This window comes from Homo sapiens, chromosome 16 (genome assembly GCF_000001405.40).
Source record: "Homo sapiens chromosome 16, GRCh38.p14 Primary Assembly".
NCBI classification, from domain to species: Eukaryota; Metazoa; Chordata; class Mammalia; order Primates; family Hominidae; genus Homo; species Homo sapiens.
In genome coordinates this window covers 48,244,660-48,265,937 of record NC_000016.10, presented here as the reverse complement: position 1 = coordinate 48,265,937, position 21,278 = coordinate 48,244,660, and the positions used below count along the sequence as shown (strand labels likewise).

Sequence of the window (21,278 nt, the reverse complement as noted above, 5' to 3'; positions counted from 1 at the left end):
TTAACCAAGGAGGTAAAATGTCTGTACACTAAAAATTATAAAACACTGATGAAATAAGTCAGACACAAATAAATGGAAAGATATTACATGTTCGTAGACTAGAAGAATGTTGTTAAAATGTCTATACCACTCAAAGCAATTTACAAGTTCAATGTAATCCCTATTAAAATTCCAATGACATTTTTCACAAAAATAGATTTAAAAATCCTAAAATTAATAAGAAATTACAAAAGACCCTGAATAGCCAAACCAATCTTGAGCAAGAACAAACGTGGAGGCACCAGACTTTCTGACTTCAAGTTATATTACGAAGCTACAGTAATCAGAGAGTATGATTCTGGCACAAAAACAGACACACGGACCAATGGAATAGAATAGAGGGCCCAGAAATAAACCTATAAAGTTACCTAGAAGGTCAACCAATTTTCAACAAGGGCACCAAGAATATACAATAGGGAAAGGGCAGTCTCTTCAAGAAAATGTTGTGGGAAAACCAGATACCCACAGGCAGAAGAATGCACTTGAACCCTTATATGACACCATGTACAAACATTAATTCAAAATGGATTAAAGACTTAAATGTAAGGCCTGAAACTGTAAAACTCCTAGAACAAAATATATTTTAAAAGCTCCTTGACATTGGTCTGGGCATGGTATTTTTGGATATTGACACCAAAGTCAAGGCAACAAAAGCAAAAATGAACAAGTGAAATTATATCAAACTGAAAAGCTTCTGTACAGAATAAAAAAAGTTCAGCAAAATGAGAAGGCAACCTATGTAACAGCAGAAAATATGTGCAAACCATATTTCTGATAAGGGGTTAATATCCAAAATACACAAGGAACTCATGAAACTTAACGGCAAAAAATCAAATAGGTGCTTATCATGACTAATCATCAGGGAAATGCAAATCAAAACCACAATGAGAAAGCACTTTATGCCTGTTAGGATGGCCATTATTTAAAAAAACAAACAAACAAACAAAAAAACCATCATCAGTGAAGGTGAGGATATGGAGAAAAGGGCACCCTTGTACACTGTTGTTCGGAATGTAAATTGGTACAGCGTGTTGCGGGAAGTCAGGGACCCCAAACGGAGGGACCGGCTGAAGCCATGGCAGAAGAACGTGGATTGTGAAGATTTTATGGACATTTATTAGTTCCCCAAATTAATACTTTTGTAATTTCTTATGCCTGTCTTTACTGCAATCTCTAAACATAAATCGTAAAGATTTCATGGACACTTATCACTTCCTCAATCAATACTCTTGTGATTTCCTATGCCTGTCTTTACTTTAATCTCTTAATCCTGTCAGCCAAGGAGGATGTATGTGGCCTCAGGACTATGTGATAATTGCGTTAACTGCACAAATTGTACAGCATGTGTGTTTGTGCAATATGAAATCTGAGCACCGTGGAAAAAGAACAGGATAACAGCAATTGTTCAGGGAATAAGAGAGATAACCTTAAACTCTGACCGCTGGTGAGCCGGGCAGAACAGAGCCATATTTCTCTTCTTTCAAAAGCAAATGGAAGAAATATCGCTGAATTCTTTTTTCTCAGCATGGAATGTCCCTGAGAAACAGAATGCGCACCTAGGGGTAGGTCTCTGAACTGGCCCCCCCGGGGCGTACCTGTCTCTTATGGTCGAGATTGCAGAGGTGAGATAGACTCCAGTCTCCCATAGCGCTCCCAGGCTTATTAGGAAGAGGAAATTCCCATCTAATAAATTTTGGTCAGATCCGTTATCTCAAAACCCCGTCTCCTGATAAGATGTTATCAGTGACAATGGTGCCCGAAACTTCATTAGCAATTTTAATTTCGCCTCGGAGCTGTGGTCCTGTGATCTCGCCCTGCCTCCATTTGCCTTGTGATATTCTATTACCCTGTTAAGTACTTGATGTCTGTCACCCACACCTATTCGCACACTCCCTCCCCTTTTGAAAATCCCTAATAAAAACTTGCTGGTTTTTGTGGCTTGTGGGGCATCACGGATCCTACCAACGTGTGATGTCTCCCCCAGACACCCAGCTTTAAAATTTCTCTCTTTTGTACTCTGTCTCTTTATTTCTCAAGCCAGCCAATGCTTAGGAAAATAGAAAAGAACCTACATGATTATTGGGGCAGGTCCCCCGATAACAGCCATTATGAAAACAGTATGGAAGTTACTAAAAAAGTTCAAATACAACTTACATATGATCCAGCAATGCCACCTCTGGGTAAACAGCCAAAGGAACTGAAATCAGGATCTCAAAGAGTTATCTGCACTTCCGTATTCACTGCAGTATTACTTACAATAGCCAAGATACGGAAATAACTGAAATGTCTACTGACACATAAGTGAATAAAGAAAATGTGGTATAGACACACAATGGAATATTATGCACCTTAAAAAAGAAGGAAATCTTGCCATCTGTGACAACATGGATGGACCTCTAGGTTAGAGGGCATCATGCTAAGTGAAATAAGCCAGACACAGAAAGACAAGTACTGTATGATTTCACCTATTTAATGCATGTGGAATCTAAAATAGTGAAACTCATAGAAATGGAGAGTAGACTAGTAGTTGCCACAGGATGAGAGGAGAAGGAAATGGGAGGTGATGGTTAAAGGGAACAAAGTTTCACTTATGCAAGATAAATAAGTTCTAGAGATCTACTATAAAGAAAAGTGCCTATCGCTAACAATATTGTTAATTTAACATTAGACCTTATGTTCAATGTTCTTACCACCAGCACCAAAAGAAAAAAGCCAATAATAATGATGATAATAATAATCACAAAAGAGGTAGGAGGAAACTTTGGAGGTGACGGATATGTTTATGGCTATGAAGATTGTGATGGTTTCATGGGTGTATACTTATTCTGAAACTCACTGAGATGTATTCATTAATTATATACAGCTTTTTGTACGACAATCACACTTCAATAAAATGGTTTCAAAAAAATTGAAAACAAAAATAATTTAACAGTACGACAATCAGTGGAGTAAATTTGAAATGAAAAATTGCATGAGCTTTCTGAGTGACAATTAGACTGCAAAACAGGTGTTATTTTTTGGCTTACCAGTTGTACTTTTGTTCCAAGGAAGTTCTACCATAAGTTCCAAATAATTTCTAGTCAGAGCATATTCTGGCATTGACTGAGGCATTTTTTTGAGTCTGTGGAGAAAGAATACACAGCAAACATGTTCAAGAACACAGAAAAATTCCATAACAGAAAAATCAAACACAGCTCTCTTTCTTGGTTAGATATATCATGCATGTTTAAACAAATCTGAAAAAGTTTTAAAGTATCCAGATAATAAAACGTTTATTTTGTTTTGTAATGTAATGATCACCACTCCTATCTCTCTCCCCAGCCTACTTAACTGCCCCTTCTGGAGTCCCACCAGGGAGGGGTTCTTCCCTTCTGCTCTGCTTTCTCTACAAAGTATTCTCATATTTTCTAAGTACTTAAGGTACTTACAAAACAAAATAAGGCAGATACCTGCAAACTGCAGGAGAAAACATTATATCTAATTCTAACCTGGAAATATGGCCTTACTAGTGTGTGTCCCTTTTAAGCTCACAGGGATAGTCAAGTGACATATATCCATTGGTTTACTTATCACAATAAGATGTAAGTGCCTAACTATGCATAATACAATACATTTTTTTTTGTATCAGAGATGAGTGAGGTCTGCTCATAAAAGCAAGCTAATATCATATATTTAATAACAAATGCTACTTCCATAATATATGCAATGCTTAGCAAAGTGTTCTGCACATAATAAATGTTCTACATATATTAACTAATGTCAGAGGCAATATAAAATACCCATCAACTACAATTACTAATGTTCTTAACTGTAAGCCTCAGAAAGTCAAATATTAAGTCACTAAGCATTCAAGCAGGCTCACTACAATTCACTAATAAAAGAAAATGTAATAAGAGTTATAAAGTTAAAAGTATGCAAAGGAAAAATGGCTTTCAGTTTAACACTGGGGATATCCAGAAAATGTAATCAACCCATATATCCTATTCTGTTATCAAGGTTTCCCTGTACTTTGTCTTGTACAAAGAGAAATGGACAGTCCTTGCCCTTGAGAGTTTATAATCTAGAGAAGAAAAGTCACATGTGAAGAATATGATGCTAACTGAACAAACATTACGTATAAACAAAGAAGCATGGTCTGTTCTTTCAGACAACAAAAAGGCAGCTGCAAGAGTTATATTGCCTGACAGCACACTGCAGGTGGAAGATTTGTATTATGTATCCTCAGTATTGGAGAAAAGAGTAGTGAAAGTGGTGTTAATCAGGAGTACCAAGAATGAAAACAATAATGAACAAATGCCTTTTATAATTTACCTCTTTATCTCTTTGACACAGACTTTATGGGCCTGCTCTGGCATACTAGATGTTCGTATTTTTTTCTCTAGCATGACAATGTCATCATTATCTTCATCTTCATCTTCATCTTCTAAAGTACCTGAGATATGTGTAATTCTCCTAATAGGGCGTATTGCTATAACCTAACATAGAAAGCAGAAAAGTAAAACCGTATGTCAAAATAAATTGGAAACGAAGTACCCAGGTACACATAAGATTATGACTGGTGCTGAATAAATATTTTTATGACTACAGTCTCTATCTTTAGGAAGTGAAGTTCAGAATGATAATCAAAAGGCAGTTGTATACAGAGAGGCAGCAGAATTGCAGAAGTAGACCAACGTAAGGTAGACATGATTCTTTGGTATATGCTTACAATAATACTTGCATGAGAAAACAAATTTCAAGGAACTGGATACTAGAAATAATTAAACCATCTAGGAATTACCTTTCTTTGAGCTACTATTGCAGCCACTATTTTCTTGAAATACATTACTTCTTACCATTTGGTGACTGAAAAAAATTCCATTTTATCTCCTACATTACAAAATTTCTTCCTAGCATCTTCAACCTTTCCACCACTGGCTCTATTTTGTCTTCAAAGCTTTCCTGCTTTCAAAATATTTTTTTCTTACCTCTAGTTTCTTCTAGTTAACTATCGCACTATTTACTTCCTTTCTTGTGAAGTTCTGCTTCTCCAGCAAGTGGCTATAACCACCAGATCCCCTACCTCATCAATTACTTCAGTGAGCCTTCGGCATCTGTTCCCATCCTGCCAAAATTGTTCTTTCAAATCTAAAAAACATATTCTGTGCAAAGTCAAATGGCCTTTGTATTCTCTATGATCTCTCTATCATATGTTAAAACTACCTTATATGCTCCTTGAAATTCATGAATAAACAACCACTACTGGAGCAAAATTATATACTAGCATTTAATTTAAAAGCCCCCAGAACATTTTATTTTTTGAGACAAGGTCAAGCTTTGTAATCCAGGCTGAAGTGCAATGGCATGAACACTGCTTACTGCAGCCTCAACCTCCCTGGCTCAAGTAATCCTTCCACCTCAGCTTCCTAAATAGCTGGGACTACAGACACACACCAGCATGCTGGCTAATTTTTTAAATTTTTTTTGTAAAGATGAGGTCTCACTATGTTGCCCAGCCTGGTCTTGAACTCCTGGCCTCAAGCAATTCTCCTTCCTTGGCCTCCCAAAGTGCTGGGATTACAGGCATGAGCCACTGCATTCAGCCCAGAACTTATTTTTTAACCTGGAAAATTTATCTATTTAATACATTCAAATATAAAAATGTTTAAAACATAAAGCAGTAAATAAAAATTTAATTTTATAAAAACACAAGTACTAAATATATGCTTTTATTCTTACATAAGTCATCAGCAGATAAAATATTATAAATAAAAAACTGAACATATTATATATTTTTTAAAAGTGAGATTTTTATAAGCATATCAGTGATTTCATTGTTAAGACAAAAGCACTTTTTAATGCATTTTTCCTTCCTGACTGCTAAAACAGTGCTTTTCAACTCTTAGGGGAACAAAAAGGAGAGAGTTTTAGGTTAACTCCAAATATTATCCTAATTCCTACTTTTTAAATAACTGTCTCTTGCTTATTTTCTGGAGCACTTTTGAAAAACTTTCATTTTAAGTGATGGCAAACTTTACTGAGAGTAAGTTGCAGTTTTCTGCAACTCCCAGTGGATTTGTCTCTCTATACAAAATGAGTAATTGAGTCCCTGACCTGATCTCAAGCCAGAAATAATCCAGCTTTCTGCATGTTTTAAACAGCATGGTGTCCTGGAGTACTAATCGCCAGCATGATCATCACTGTTCCTATCTCTCTCCTCAGCCTACTTGACTGCCCCTTCTCTAGTCCCACCGGGGAGGAGTTCTTCCCTTCTGCTCCGCTTTCTCTACAATGTATTCTCTTTGATGACAAGACTTCTGCGCTGATGAACGTCAAATTGCTAACATAATTCTCAACGCCTCAACTTAAGTCAGAGCGCTGCATCTCAACACCTTCAGAGAAATGCCATTTTCACATCCTGTCCACATCAAATATATCTTCCTAATATAAACTCTGTCCAGACATAAAAATAGTAAAATCAGCAGATCAAGGTAGACTTCAAACAGATCCCATCATACATATAAATGTAATAGATGATAATGGGGATGGGAAGGATTATTTAATTAGTGGTGTTGAGTCAAACAAAAAGCTATTTGAGGGAAAAATACAACTGCTGTCTTCAAAATAATATATGGGTTAAAGAATTAAATACTTTTTAAAAAATCAACTAAAATTAAACTGAAAGGAAAGTGAATATTTATCAAGCCACTGAAGGTTAGAGGACTTAAGCTTAGAAAACAAAAAAAGATCAAGAGTTTGACTAAATAAAAATGGAAACTTATTATAAGTTGAAAACAGCCAAATTTTGACACAACATATAGTCCTTTTAAGAAAGAGTTTTGTATTAGTTTCTTAGTATTACATGCAGTAAAAAAATGTTATACTCAAAGACACCCATCATAGTTATTTGTTAGTGTTTACAATACACAAAACATTGGAAACAACACAAAAGGGGAAATGGCTCAGTAAATTATCCTTTTGGATGATAACCAAAACAAAGTGAGAAAAATGCTTACATGCTTTAAAAAAAAATCCAGGCAAAGAAAAGGATGAGAGGGAAACACCTAAATTTTATCAGTAGTGCGAGTGGTAGGAGACAATAAACTTTTCTTCTTTGTTCCTCTCTTTATTCTCCTTATTTTTTTTTCAAAACTGAAATGGGTTAAAATAAATATTTACCCTCTTATCATCATCTTGCTTGGGTTTTCTGGTTTTTTGAAGCAATTTCAGGCCTTCAATTTGTCTGACAAGCAGTGGTATAGTCATCTTGAACCGCTCCTCTAGGCTCACAGCATCTAAAATCTAAGGAAATGTGAGTCAATCAATAGGATCTCTCTCAGAAACACACAATCCAAAAACAGACAGTCAGAGCCATGGTTTAAATTGCCAAGTTAAAAAAAAATTATTAACAGTATTCAAAGCTACACTATGGCTAAGACAACCAAATGAACTATATTAATCAGCAAGGTTGTTTGAGATGAATATCAGAATCCTTAAAAAAGAAAGAAAAAACAGGATCTTGGTTTTTCACTTTAAAATGAAGCTGTGTGGTTTTTTTTTTTCTTTTTTTTTTTGAGACGGAATCTTGCTCTGTCCCCAGGTTGGAGTGCAGTGGCGAGATCTTGGCTCAGTGCAAGCTCCCCCTCCTGGGTTCACGTCATTCTCCTGCCTCAGCCTCCAGAGTAACTGGGACTACAGGCACCCGACACCATGCCCGGCTAATTTTTTGTATTTTTAGTAGAGACAGGGTTTCACTCTGTTAGCCAGGATGGTCTCGATCTCCTGACCTCGTGATCTTCCCACCTCGGCCTCCCAAAGTGTTGGGATTACAGGCGTGGGCCACTGCGCCCGGCCGAAGCTGTGTGTTTTTAAGATGAAAAAACCAGACACACAGTTGACGTCAACTCTTTCTGGGAATTACTCTCTTGAAGCCCAGAATGTGTTTTCATATTAGATCTAAACAAATTATAGGTTCAAAATATTAAATGTTTACATACACAAGAGAACAGAAGCACTCAACCAACTCTCACTAGTGATTTGTCGGAGCACAGGCCGCTCTCTGTTCCCGCAGTAAAACACACTGCTGCCGCCCACAGCCAGGGGGCTCTCTGGCAGTCCTGTAACTCTTCTACTCCCACTGGATTAATTGAATTCCTGTGTATAACCAACCTGTTTGTGTTAGTTGTATTTGCTATTATAACAGTTGGATTTAAGTATTAAATAAACTGATAACATATGAAAGAGCTGTTTCACTGAAAACAAACAAATATTCTAGGATGATTCATTAAAAATACTGCTTTAAAAATATCTTAAAAATAAGTGTGCAAGAAAACTTAAAGTATTACAGTTTGGGGATTAAGTCATGTAAATGTAGGATTCTATACTTGGATTACTTTTCAAGTGTCTTTAAAATTCATTTCACTTTAAATAAATATAAATTTAAAATTATAAGTAATGCATCATAGGTGTGATTTATATAAGAAACATGATGAAGATTCTAAGAAAGCAGGTCCACACATAAGGGAAGGGCCATGGCTCCACGTTTAAAAATAGTGAATCAAAGAATGTCTACATATTTAAGTTAAATTAAATATTTATTTATTTATTTATTTAGAGGCAGAGTCTCTGTTGCCCAGGCTGGAGTGCAGTGGTGCAATCTTGGCTCACTGCAGCCTCTGCCTCCCAGGTTCAAGCGATTCTCCTGCCTCAGCCTCTCGAGTAGCTGGGATTATAGGCGCGCACCACCACGCCCAGCTAATTTTGTATTTTTAGTAGAGATGGGGTTTTACCATGTTGGCCAGGCTGGTCTCGAACTCCTGATCTCAAGCGATCCACCCATCTCAGCCTCCCAAAGTGCTGGGACTACAGGCGTGAGCACCCAGTCAAATATTTACCTTTTTATGATTCTTTGCTTTAACTTTTTCTGTAAATTGACTACCATTACTGATTATGCAAATAAAAGAGCTGCTTGTGTCAACAAAAATATAAAATAAAAGAGCTGCTTGTGTCAACAAAAATATAAAACAATCACATTTGAAAGTCAGTTTAAATGTAAAAGCATTTCAATTACTTTGGGTCTCCAATATCTTTTTCTTGAAGGTCAAAACTTAACTACTCACTATCTAGATCTCAATAAAAAGTGACAAAGCAACCTGGCGTTCAAAAGGGAACACTGTACCTGGAGTTTCTCTTTGTTGCTTGTTCGGATAATTGATGTCAAGATGTCTGGTAAAGCTTCCCTTGGAAGACTATCTAAAAGACGTCTCAATTTAGCAACTGCAGGGACAGACATATCCAACATTTCAACCAACTAGAAGGGGGAAAAAAAGTCTTTTAAATGAAATCTGGCATTATTTGTGAATTTTTAAAAATCAGATTTCCATCTAGGTTTAATGTTTGGGCCTCAGTCTTTGTTTTTGAAAGATCACTGATTAATATAGTCCACGTATTTTACAGGCCTCAGAGGAAAAGAAAAGTACTTTCAAAACATCAATCAGAATGAAAAGCAATAATGGCTTAAAAGTAGTTAACACTAATGTTTACAAGGGTTTTGTAAACCTGTGCCATGATTATTTTTAACTTTCTATTGAAAAAAATTCAAATGTACAAAAAAGTTGCAAGAATCATACAATAACTCCTGTACATCCTTCTTCCAGATTCACCAATTGAATTCACCAACTGAAAAGTGGCATTTTGCCATGTTTGCTTTCTCTCTCTCCACACTCACACATAATTAATGAACATTTGAGGATAAGCTGCAGAATCGAGATCCTTATTCTTTAAATCTCTAATCCTGTGACAGATTAAGGACCCTTGTTCTTAAGAACAAGAATATTCTCTTACATAATCACAATATAAACCCTATTAGATGCATATTATTAGAAATATGTGTATTATTAGAAATTTAGCATAGTTGATGCTATTATCACGGCCAATCAGAGGATGAAATATTAATATTTAGTATAACATTTTGTATTAGTCTGTTCTCACACTGCTAATAAAGACATACCAGAGACTGGGTAATTTATAAAAGACAGAGGTTTAATGGACTCACAGTTCCACATGGCTGGGGAGGCCTCACAATCATGGAGGAAGGCAAAGGAGAAGCAAAGGCCTGTCTTACATGGTAGCAGGCAAGACAGCGTGTGCAGGGGAACTATCATTTATATAACCATCTGATCTTGTGAGACTTATTCACCACCAAGAGAACAGTATGGGGGAACCGCCCCCATAATTCAATTATCTACACCTGGCACCGCCCCCTGACACATGGGAATTATTACAACTCAAGGTGATATTTGGGTGGGGACACAGCCAAACCATATCAATTTGGACTAACTAGAATCTGAGCACTGTGAATGACTTTTAGAAAAACAACTGTCAGCGTATATCTGGGAGTTAAGATAGATTATGCCCAAGGCACACTTTCAGTAACTGTGATAGTCATTAGGGCTACTGACAAACTCCCCTTTTCTTCTGGGCACTGCTCTTTCTAACTTCCTTCGAATATACTAATAGGTGTGTCTATGAGTCTTAAATTGATCCATGAAACGTAGTGGAAGTGACAGCTCCTTCTGGGCAGAAGCATTACAAGCCAATGAGAGATGCGCCCCATTTCCTTTTCCTGCCTTAGAGATAAGGGAAGCATGTCTTTAGATGAATCTCCAATCCACCTGGGTCCGAGTGACTTTAATAGGCAGACACAACCCCCACTAGTCTCAGGCATGAAGCATGAGCCAGAAAGACACTCACATTATGCGACTGAGATTTCAGAGAAGTTAACATAGCAAAACTTAGTTCACACTAATTCATAATGATGTACTAAACCTTCATTTAGTCAGTTCAAATCAGATTTCATGTGCTAGTAATATTCAAACCTCTCCAACAACATCGTAATTTTGGAACTTATCCATTACCTGCCTAGAATGAAGGGAATTAAAGTATAATTACGATGAAGCTGTTCAGGTGGAAGAAGTAGATAATAAAATTTGAATACCCTTGCTACTAGGAATTCACCCCACGAAAATAAAACAGTTAAAACTCATTTTCCAAACATTTACTGAGTACAAACTATTTGCCAGACCCAAAACACTGCTCAGTACAGGATGGCTAAAGGAGAAAAGTGAATTCAAGTTTGGTAGAGAAAAAATACCTATAAGATACATTTCAATACAATGTGATAAGCATTATGTTAAATGACATGTATGACAGACTGTGAAGGCACACAGAGATGAGCGCTAACAGCCTACAGCTGTTGGGAAAGCATAGATTCAATTTTAAAATTCAGAGATGGAGGCCGGGCGTGGTGGCGGTTGGATCATGAGGTCAGGAGTTCGAGACCAGCCTGGCCAACATGGTGAAACCTCATCTCTACTAAAGACACAAAAAGTTAGCCGGGCGTGGTGGCGCATGCCTGTAATGCCAGCTACTTGGGAGGCTGAAGCAGGAGAATCGCTTGAACCCGGGAGGCGGAGGCTGCAGTGAGCCGAAATTGCACCACTGCACTCCAGCCTGGGCAACAGGGCAAGACTCCATTTCAAAAAAAAAAAAAAAAATCAGAGATGGAAGAGCACTCCCAGCAGAGAACTGAAGGCAGAATCATAGAGACATAAAATAACTCAATGTGAAGCTGTTTTACATTCAGTAGAGCTAGAACTAGGGTGTCAGTGAGGTGATAACTAGAGTTGACGCAAGACAGATAGGCCCAAGACAAGTTGCAAACGGTCTTAATGTTATACTAAGAAATTTGGTGTCCATCCTATAGCCATTAAAGTCTTTTACTCAAGGGAATGGGATGCCCCAGACTTCTTTTAGAAAGGCTCAGTGAAGAGAAAAGGTTCAAGACAGAAGAACTAGGAGACAGGATGCTATTGAAGAAGTTCATTGAAGAGATGCAGAAGTAGAAGTAGATGCAGAAGGGGATGAAAGAGAATAATTGGAAATAACTTTAATGTCTAAAAAGAGAAATTATAAAATTAGTATACATTAACTCAATGAAATTAACAAAAGTACTTAATATGAACATCAGACATGGATACAAAAACAAAACATATAATTGAATATGAACTGAGCCCAGAAGACGAACAAAAATTAAATTTGATGCATGATGACAGTAAGATGTGTGGTGATCTATTTATTTCTAAAAATTCCTTTAATGTCACTGCAAAATCTTTACAAGTTTAAAAAGTTCCTCTAGATTCAAAGTACAAAGAAGTAAAAGCAAAGCAAAAGAGGCTATGAAGCTATCTATGTCCAATAGAGGCACAAAGACCCAGGGAACATCACTGCTGAAAAGAAAAAGAAATTCTATTTCTCTCAATCTCCTTTATTCCTAAGCAGTATATTCACTTATTCCAGTTTTCAAACTGAAATTTCTTTCCTCAAAGTGCTTTCTTTCAGCCCATATAGAAATTACAGATTCAAATTTTCTATTTTTCTTTTTTTTTTTTTGAGTCAGGGTCTCGCTCTGTTGCCCAGGCTGGAATGCAGTGATGCAATCTTGGCTCACTGCAACTTCCACCTACTAGGTTCAAGTAATCCTCCCACCTCAGCCTCCCCAGTAGCTGGGACTACAGGCACGCACCATCACACTCGGCTAATTTTTGTACATTTTGTAGAGACGGGATCTCACCATGCTGCCTAGGCTGATCTCGAACTACTGGGCTCAAGCAATCCACCCACCTCAGCCTCCCAAAGTGCTGGGATTACAGGTGTGCACCAGCGCACCTGGCCCTCAAATTTACTATTTTTCTGTTATTGTTCATTACACTGTAAGTATGGCTCTTCAAATGCCACATCAGATACAAATACCACTGGCTATGAACACTTGCCCCACACATATTTCAATGATCAGTAGTATTTATAATTGTGACTTTTAAACATTATCTGATCCTCATAGATCTAGTTATAGTCACTGGATTAAACTAATAGAAAAGTAGAAGACTATACTTTATAATTTTATGTTTCATTAAGGTTTGAAACAAAATGGGGTGGGAATAGGAGCTTTCTGTTCTATCTAGAGTTAACCAAAAAGAACTAGAATTAAAGAGTCAAATATTTAATGCATATCTAAAATGTGCTTCCTTCCCAGCATTCTAGTTAATCAAGGTTTTAACCATACTTGAAATCAGCCCACCACAGGCTTGATCTACCATAGTTACTGCTAGACAATGTGATCTTGACTTTTGAAGTAATATATTGTAATTTATATAAATGGTGCCTAGATATTTTAGTGACAGACAGCTTCTGTGCAGTATTTCGTTTTTTAGCTTTAAATATTTAGGTTTAATAATTATCTAGTTTAGAGACAGTAGAAGTTAGAAGGAAAGCTGTAGAAATAACATTTGGAAAACTTTAGAAAGGGTAGGCCAATATGTCCTGGAATGATTTAGGTACAACCCCAGATAAGAGTAAATCAGAATTAATATATAATGTTACTAACTCATTTAAATGTATACTGTCCTAAAACTTCACTATCCAACAGATTCACCATATCTTAGGAAAGCAAAAGAACCAAAGAAAAATGGGTTTTAAGAAAAAATAAAAGCAACTTACTTGTACTGCATATTTGTAAAACTGCTCTGATAGTTCTCCTAGCTCCTCCCTCATTTTACAGGTGTTGGGAAACTCCTCAAGTCGGTCCAACTGCTCCACTTCAGCAATGGGATATGGCTTCTCTTTTAAGACCTGTACAATCTGGAAACGGCATAGGCCTGTAATCAACAGAGTGTAGTGGGGCTTGGGCCAGTTACTGCCCACAACCTGAACGGCCAGTGCAGCTGTGCCAATCCTGAAAAACACACAAAACATCGGTATTACAAACATTCAATACGGTAGAACAGAAACTCACTTCAGAAAGTGTTGGCTTTTCTGATACATTCATTAAGCAAAAGACATCTGAAGTGTAAATAAATTTTTTCTCTATTTAACTTAGCATCCAGTATGTGGCCTCTTCTGCCACTACCCTCAGCTATATGGCAAAGCAGACCATCTCACTATAATCTGCACCTCTTTTAAAAAATTAGGTAGGAATTTGTAAACACTTGGATTATTCAAGCGTAAAAATGTAAGAGAAAAGCAGCTGAGAATTACATATCTTAAATTAACATTGTCAACTAAGAATAAGGCAATCTTATACCAGGATAAATATTATCAATTTAAATACATTTAAATATAAATAGCATAAACCAATCTAAGAAATCTCCGTTCCAACACCAGTTGTGCTACTAACATCAAGTCAGTTTTCTTACATAATCAGTCTATGAAACTTCCACATACCCACCTTATCACAAGCTGCCATCACATACTGGGAACTTATATATATGCCCTTAACACTGAATTTCTAAGTGTGAGGGCTAAATATTACAGTCCACACACTGCCATAGACTGAGGAGAGCTAAAGAAAGACCCACATCTCAAAAGGTCTCAACCTAGTTCTAAGTGGTAATCATTTTACCTAACAATAGGTGAAAAGGCTTCAAGTCTCAGCTCCTCATCAGCAAATACAACTCTGATCAAGTCACATATAAATTTAATTCACAGAAAGGAAGCCTCATCCAAACTAAGTCAGTTATATAAAATACAAAAATCAACATTGAGAAGACAATTCCAGATCCCAAAATAAATAATATTTTCTCCCTTCAGCCATAGGAAAAGTGGTAATTCCAGAAAAGAAAATAGAAGGACTAGAACTCTCAACACCCTAGGAAAGCGGTAATAGAAGAACACCACACCTGCCCATCTCAAAGATAATAAATCATGTAATACAGTATGTGACTATGTGAGTGAACTTGCTTACTTCTATACACAGTGAATTCTTGATTACTTCCTTATAAATTACTCATTCCGTAGATTACACATAGCCTTTGGCTTCTTTCTGCCACTCAGTTTATTCTGAACTACGTCTATCCTTTTCTTACCTTTCAGTCATTACCATGTTTACAATAAAAACTGATTTAAATAATAAGCCAAACAACTGAGAAGATAAATTGGTGAGGGAAAAAAATCACATACATAAAAAACTTGAAATTATTTAGCAATTAGCTATTATTTTGACTTATTTGTGTTGTGGCTGCTTTTCTTCAATCAATAGTAGATAATATTTCCCACTTCCTGAAAGCCCACTCAGATTGCCTGAGGAAGTGAGCCACCTCTAAACTGATTAGAGAATAACTTAAACATAATTAATTGCAGATGATATTCATCACTGTTTGTACAATGCTGAAAGAGCTCACAGTCCTGTTTGTATATAAAACATCCACAGACAAGAAACTGGATCCCCGGCCTAAAGGGTTTACAAAGTAGAAACCAAGGAGGAACCAGAAAGAGAGATGAGACAAATCCAAATCTCCGATCAGGAGACAAATTTAATTATTTGGGCTATGTCATTGCTAAAAGGTGATGCTAAAGAGTTGTTTTTTGTTTTTTGTTTTTTTTTTTTGAGACGGAGTCTCACTTTGTCACCAGGCTGGAGCGCAGTAGCCTAATCTTGGCTCACTGCAACCTCCGTCTCCCAGATTCAAGTGATTCTCCTGCCTCAGCCTCCCAAGTAGCTGGGACTACAGGCACACACCACCACGCCCAGCTAATTTTTTGTATTTTTTGTAGAGATGAGGTTTCACCATGTTGGCCAGGATGATCTCGATCTCTTGACCTCATGATTCGCCCACCTTGGCCTCCCAAAGTGCTGGGATTACAGGTGTGAGCCACTGTGGTTTTTTTGTTTGTTTTTTAGAGGGAGTCTCACCCTGTCGCCCAGCCTGACGTACAATGGCGTGATCTCGGCTTATTGCACTCTGCCTCCTGGGTTCAAGGGATTCTCGTGCCTCAGCCTCCCAACTAGCTGGGATTACAGGCACACACCACCACGCCCAGCTAATTTTTGTATTTTTAGTAGAGACAGGGTTTCACTATGTTGGCCAGGCTGGTCTCGAACTCCTGACCTAAGGTAATCCACCCACCTCAGCCTCCCAAAGTGCTAGGATTACGGGCGTGAGCCACCACACCTGGCCAAAAGGGGTTTTCTTATAAAGCAAATACAATATTTTTGCTGTGAAAGGAAGATGTTCCAAACTGAAGAGATTAAGCTGAATTTATACTATGCCTACAAAAGGTACAGATGTATACATGCCTTAATTGCTTTTTACTTAAAATCACTTATAGTTGACTAGAAATTATCCCTTTAAAAAAATTTTTTTTTCTTTTTTTAACAGAGATGGGATCTCATGATGTTGACCAGGCTGATCTCCAACTACTGGCCTCAAGCAATCCTCCCATCTTGGCCTCCCAAAGTGCTAGGATTACAGGCAAGACCCACCTCGCCCAGCCTAGAATACATCCCTTTTAAAGAAAAACATCTATGAAATTATAGATGGCTAGAAACAGAGTACCTGGTGAGACACTGTGGGTGAAAAGCATAGTGAAAAAGAATCTATTGTATATTGGGCCCCAGGTTTTATATATACAAACAGGTAAATAAACAAAATACTCAACTAATATTTTCCTTCTATGATATACAAAAGGTTGTATATCAAGTCAGTCATTTTTCTAAAAATTCTGGCTCTTCTATTGTATGTGCATTATTAGGCATGCTCAAAAGGCAGCATTTTAATTTTGCAACAGATCCAAACTTATACATCCCAATGACTGGTGTCCTTCCCTTTAGCTAGTAGCTCTGTAAATCTACATCCTAATTATGATATTGTTCAAAGAAGTTTTGAAACTCCTAACTCGAATCTACCCTCAGAGGTTTTAAGATAATGTTTTAATCCAAATCCTAACTCGAATCTACCCTCAGAGTTTGTAAAATATTGTTTTCATTCAAGTGAGGTCTGACTACAATGGTTACAATTTGTGTAATTTGGAAACTGACCTAAATAATATAAGAGTTCCAAACATATTTAAGAACCATCAACTGCAGTAGTGGGAAAATCTAAAAGCAGCACTACTGGAAAAAGTTTTCCAAGATGAGGATATTATGTAAATATCTAATTCCAGCCTATATGCCCAGCACTTGCTTTTTTTTTTTTTTTTTTTCCTATAGACAGAATCTTGCTCTGTCACCCAGGCTGGAGTGCAGTGGTACGATTATAGCTCACTGCAGCTTCGATCACCTGGGCTCAAGTAATCCTCCGCCTCAGCATCATGAGTAGATGGGAGTACAGGCACGTGCCACCAGGCCCAGCCACTTTTAAAAAATTTTTTTACTCAAAGCCCTTAATTTTTCTTGGAATCTTTAATCTTCCAAGACCTTCCTGCAATGATGTTAGTTCAGTTCAGCCCGTGTTGGAATAATATGGGGCCTCCCCACTCCTCTCTTTAATCCCCTTTTGTGAAAATCTACATTTAAAACTACCCATTTGGATATAGGTTTAGAATGCTTTGCAGTTTCAAAAGGCTTTCATATGTATACTTCATTTTATACCTCCCTTCACCCCATGAAGAAGGTAGTATTATTTCCTTATTACAAGTGAGTAAATGAGATTCAAAAAGGTAGAACATGGCATGGTGGCTCACACCTATAATCCCAGCACTTTGGGAGGCCGAGGCAAGTGGATCACTTGGGCTCAGGAGTTCGAAACCAGTTTGCGCAACATGGCAAAACCCCGTCTCCACCAAAAAAAAAAAAAAAAAATAGCTAGGCATTGTGGCACATGCCTGTAATCCCAGACACTCAGGAGGCTGAGGTGAGAGGATCACTTGAACCTGGGAGGCAAAGGTTGCAGTGAGCTGAGATGGCACCACTGCACCAGCATGGGTGACAGAGTGAGACCCTGTCTCAAAAAAATTAAAGTAGAACAACTTAGGTGTACATGGTTACAAGAAAATGTAATAGAAATAAATTTAAGAAATAAATTTAAATTTAAAATTTAAAGGATAAATTTAAATTTAATAAATTGAGTTCCTTAATTATATTTTAAGACAAATTTTACTTTTTTCTCATTACAATGGACAATAGGTACCACTTCTACCTACAAGAATTATAAACATAGGCCAGGCATGGTGGCTCACGCCTGTAATCCTAACACTTTGGGAGACAGAGGCAGGAGGATCACTTGAGCTCACAAGTTTGACACCAGCCTGGTGAGGGAGACTGAGAAGTCGGCACTATGAGGAAATGAAGCCATGTACCCTGAAAAGTGTAAATTTGGAAGAAAGCTGGATGACCATCTTGAAATGCTTGAAAGGATATTGTACAGGTAGTACTAAATTATGACCCCTTTTCACTAAGAAAACAATGGGTCACTCAGGAAGCACTAAAAATGCAGTTCTACTAAGCAGAAAAATGCAGGGTGCCCTGGGTCAGCATGCCAGCCAAGTTCTATACTGCAGGACAAGTCCAAAGCTCCTCCTTTAAAAAGGCTCCTGCAGGCAACATGCCTGCACACTAACGTGCAGAAAGGGACTGTACTACTCAAAACCACCAAGGAAGTGGCAGAGGTAAGTCAACATCTAATCCTGCCACTCTGTGTGGCAAAGAACGCTGGGAGCAAATTACTTCTGCTGCTCTTTGAAGGCTGTGCCAGCGTCACCTGGATAGCGCAAAGGAAACAAGAGAAAGGAACAGAGCCCCTCTTCTGGCCTCTGGGCTACCATACAGAAAAGCAGGTAACTGGGGAAGGACAGACTTGTGCGTGGAAACAGGCTAATGCTATGGATTACTCAGTATTGGTATTGTTAAAGCCTTTTTTTTTTTTTTTTTTTAAGTAGAGTGTTTTAAAGGCCCTATTAGAGAAAAAAAGACATTGGAAACTATTACCAAGGAATATGGTACAATCTTTCCACATAGGCTTTTTAAGTAGCAAACAATACTTCTAGGATAACTAGATGGTCTGATGAGTTCTTATAATGCCGGACTTCTATGAAGACTTTTCAATATATGTTTTCTAATTTAAATGATTAAATTTTAACATTGCTACTCAGTTAAAGGCAATAATATGAACATCAAGGATCAGATCACACAGTACCTGATTATTAGTGATTACTTTCAAGCAGGAGAATTGAGGATTGTTGCTTTGGAGGGATTTTCATAAAATAAATTAAAAACCTGAAGGGTATGGTGGCGCTTGCCTATAGTCCCAGCTACTCCAGAGGCCAAAGCAGGGGATAGCTTGAGTCCAGGAGTTTGAGACCAGCCTAAGCAACATAGTGAGACCCCATTTCTACAAAAAATTTAAAAATTAGCTGGGTGTAGTGGTGCACGCCTATAGTCCCAGCCACTCCAGAAGCTGAGGCAGGACGATCACTTGAGCCCAGGAGTTCAATCAAGGTTGCGGTGGGCTACGATCACGCCACTGCACTTCAGCGGAGGAGACAGAATGAGACTCTGTCTCAAAAAATACACAAATGAATAAATAATAAAAACCTTCCAAAATCTTGCCAGAATAATACCAACAAATAGTGAAACTTAAAATGTGACTAAATCGACTTTTCAAGTTCACAATGTGCCCATGGCTAATCAATACATATGCACAGTAGAAAGAAAATGAAGTCTAATAATGACCACTCTTGCCTAGACAGGGAACTAAGTGTGCCTGGGCACAGAAGGCAAAATAATTTGGGAAAAGTAAGCAGAAGGAGCAGAGTCGTATGTTGGGAAACTAGAATCCAATACAATTTATCAAAGAGTACTGAAACTTGGAATGTGACCAATTCCACTCAGGCAATAACCAAAGCAGGTCAGATGGGAGCCAAAATATTTTCCATGCTTGAGAAAATCAAGGCTTTTACAATATAAATGAATACTGGGCTGCTGTGGAAGGTTTGTTGGTCTTTGTTGCTTTGTTTTGCTTTCTTTTAACGGGGGTGGGGGGAGGTACCAGTCTCCTTTGAGAATCTGAAGAAAGCAAAGGATTCTCCTAAAAAAATGTACATAGTCACAAGATTTTGAGGAAAAATAAGACATGTCCAACCCTCCGGAAATCCATTCAGAGTCAGGAACCCCTAATTTAAAAATAAGGGATAACTGCCAGGAAAGGAGAAGCTCTAAACTGAAAACACAACACCTCCAGTAGAGTTAGGAATAGGAGGCGGGTGCTTGGCAGGTGAGTTTGAAGATACTTGTTGAGAGCATACGATATACCAGCATTGTCCAATAAAAATATAATGTGGACCACATATAAAATTTTAGTGGCCACATTATAAAGTAAAAACAGCAGAAATCTTAACATTTTATTAACCCCAAGTACTCAAAATATTACCTTTCCAACATTTAATCCATATAAAATGTATTAATCAAAAAGTTTTTTCAAAATCTGGCGTGTATTGTACACTTACAGCACATTTAGGGTGACCAACCTCCTGGTTTCCCTGGGACGGAGGGGCTAAAACATAGGACTTTCAATGCTAAAACAGACAATCGCAGCAAACCAGGACAACTGGCAATTCTATCATCTCAATTTGACGAGCCACATGCACTACACAGTACTGGACAGCAAAGTCATCCATCATGCATGGTGCAAAGTGGAATATACACATTATTCAATTTATTCTTCATAACTTGCCTAAGAGATGGATGCTGTCAGTTTCCAAATTGCAGAATAAAAGAAATAGAGGTTAAAGCTCTCACCCAAAGTCACACCAATAGGGCGAGGGTACTGGGCAATATAGTAGTAAGCCTGGGGCCTAAGAAATGTTATGAGTGAAGGAGCAGAGGTGAGAAGCTAGGAAAGTTCCAGAAAGGGGGACCAGCGAAAATGTGAGCAGTAAAGGCCCTTTACAAAGGGAAACAGAAGGATTAGGGGGAGAAGGAGAAGGGTGGCAGGGAGTATAGAAGAAAGGCACCCACAAATAGTGCAGTTTAGGAATGAAACAGGAAAAGTTAAAACTCACGGAGCAGAGAATGCCTCAGCGGACAAAAATGATGGGTGACAGAAAAGGGGAGGCGGATAGGAGTAAAGGGCAGTGGGGAGAAAGGTGAAAAGCGAAGGCAAGTGAAGGCAGAGATCACCGGGGAGAAAGAAAGGGCCTGGAAAGTTAAAAGCACTGGCCTAGGAGGCTGAAGACCGAGGGCGAGGAATTGCGGAGAGGGGGAAGAGGATTCAAATTAAATTATCCAGAACGGTAGGGAACTGCGTAGTTTCACCAGGTGTCAGGCACTACTTCATGAACGATCTCATTCATGGTCATGGGGCAGGTATCTGACATCCCCATTTTGCAAGTGATAGCACCAGAGAGGCGGAACCGAGCCGCGAAGGCCGCCCCGAACTGAGCCTCGCGCTCAAGGCAGGCCGTGGCCTGGGCCCAGGTCCCCGGAGGAGGCC

At 38.1% G+C, this 21,278-nt stretch overlaps 2 protein-coding genes across 12 annotated transcripts in view; one reads left to right on the top strand and one right to left on the bottom strand.

Moving 5' to 3' along the window:
- Positions 1-21,278, bottom strand: part of LONP2 (lon peptidase 2, peroxisomal) — a 118,704-nt gene that overhangs the window by 97,066 nt on the left and 360 nt on the right. For 5 of the 7 annotated variants that reach the window (NM_001348078.2, XM_047434738.1, NM_031490.5 and 2 more), the window contains exons 2-6: positions 13,573-13,807; positions 9,197-9,328; positions 7,198-7,320; positions 4,351-4,514; positions 3,066-3,160 (exon numbers count right to left, since the gene is read on the bottom strand). In NM_001348078.2, coding sequence (NP_001335007.1) covers positions 3,066-3,160; positions 4,351-4,514; positions 7,198-7,320; positions 9,197-9,328; positions 13,573-13,807 — 749 coding nt within the window. The remainder of the gene's footprint in view (positions 1-3,065; positions 3,161-4,350; positions 4,515-7,197; positions 7,321-9,196; positions 9,329-13,572; positions 13,808-21,278) is intronic. The other 2 variants (NM_001300948.3, XM_017023756.2) reach the window with 1 other exon arrangement.
- The window catches only part of ABCC11 (ATP binding cassette subfamily C member 11), an 82,721-nt gene continuing 79,841 nt past the window's right edge, over positions 18,399-21,278 (top strand). For 2 of the 5 annotated variants that reach the window (XM_017023798.3, XM_017023797.3), the window contains exon 1: positions 18,399-18,456. The gene's annotated coding sequence lies outside the window, so the exon portion shown is untranslated. Of the gene's footprint in view, positions 18,625-20,934; positions 21,079-21,278 lie in introns of those variants that run through there. The other 3 variants (XM_017023801.3, NM_001370497.1, XM_017023800.3) reach the window with 2 other exon arrangements.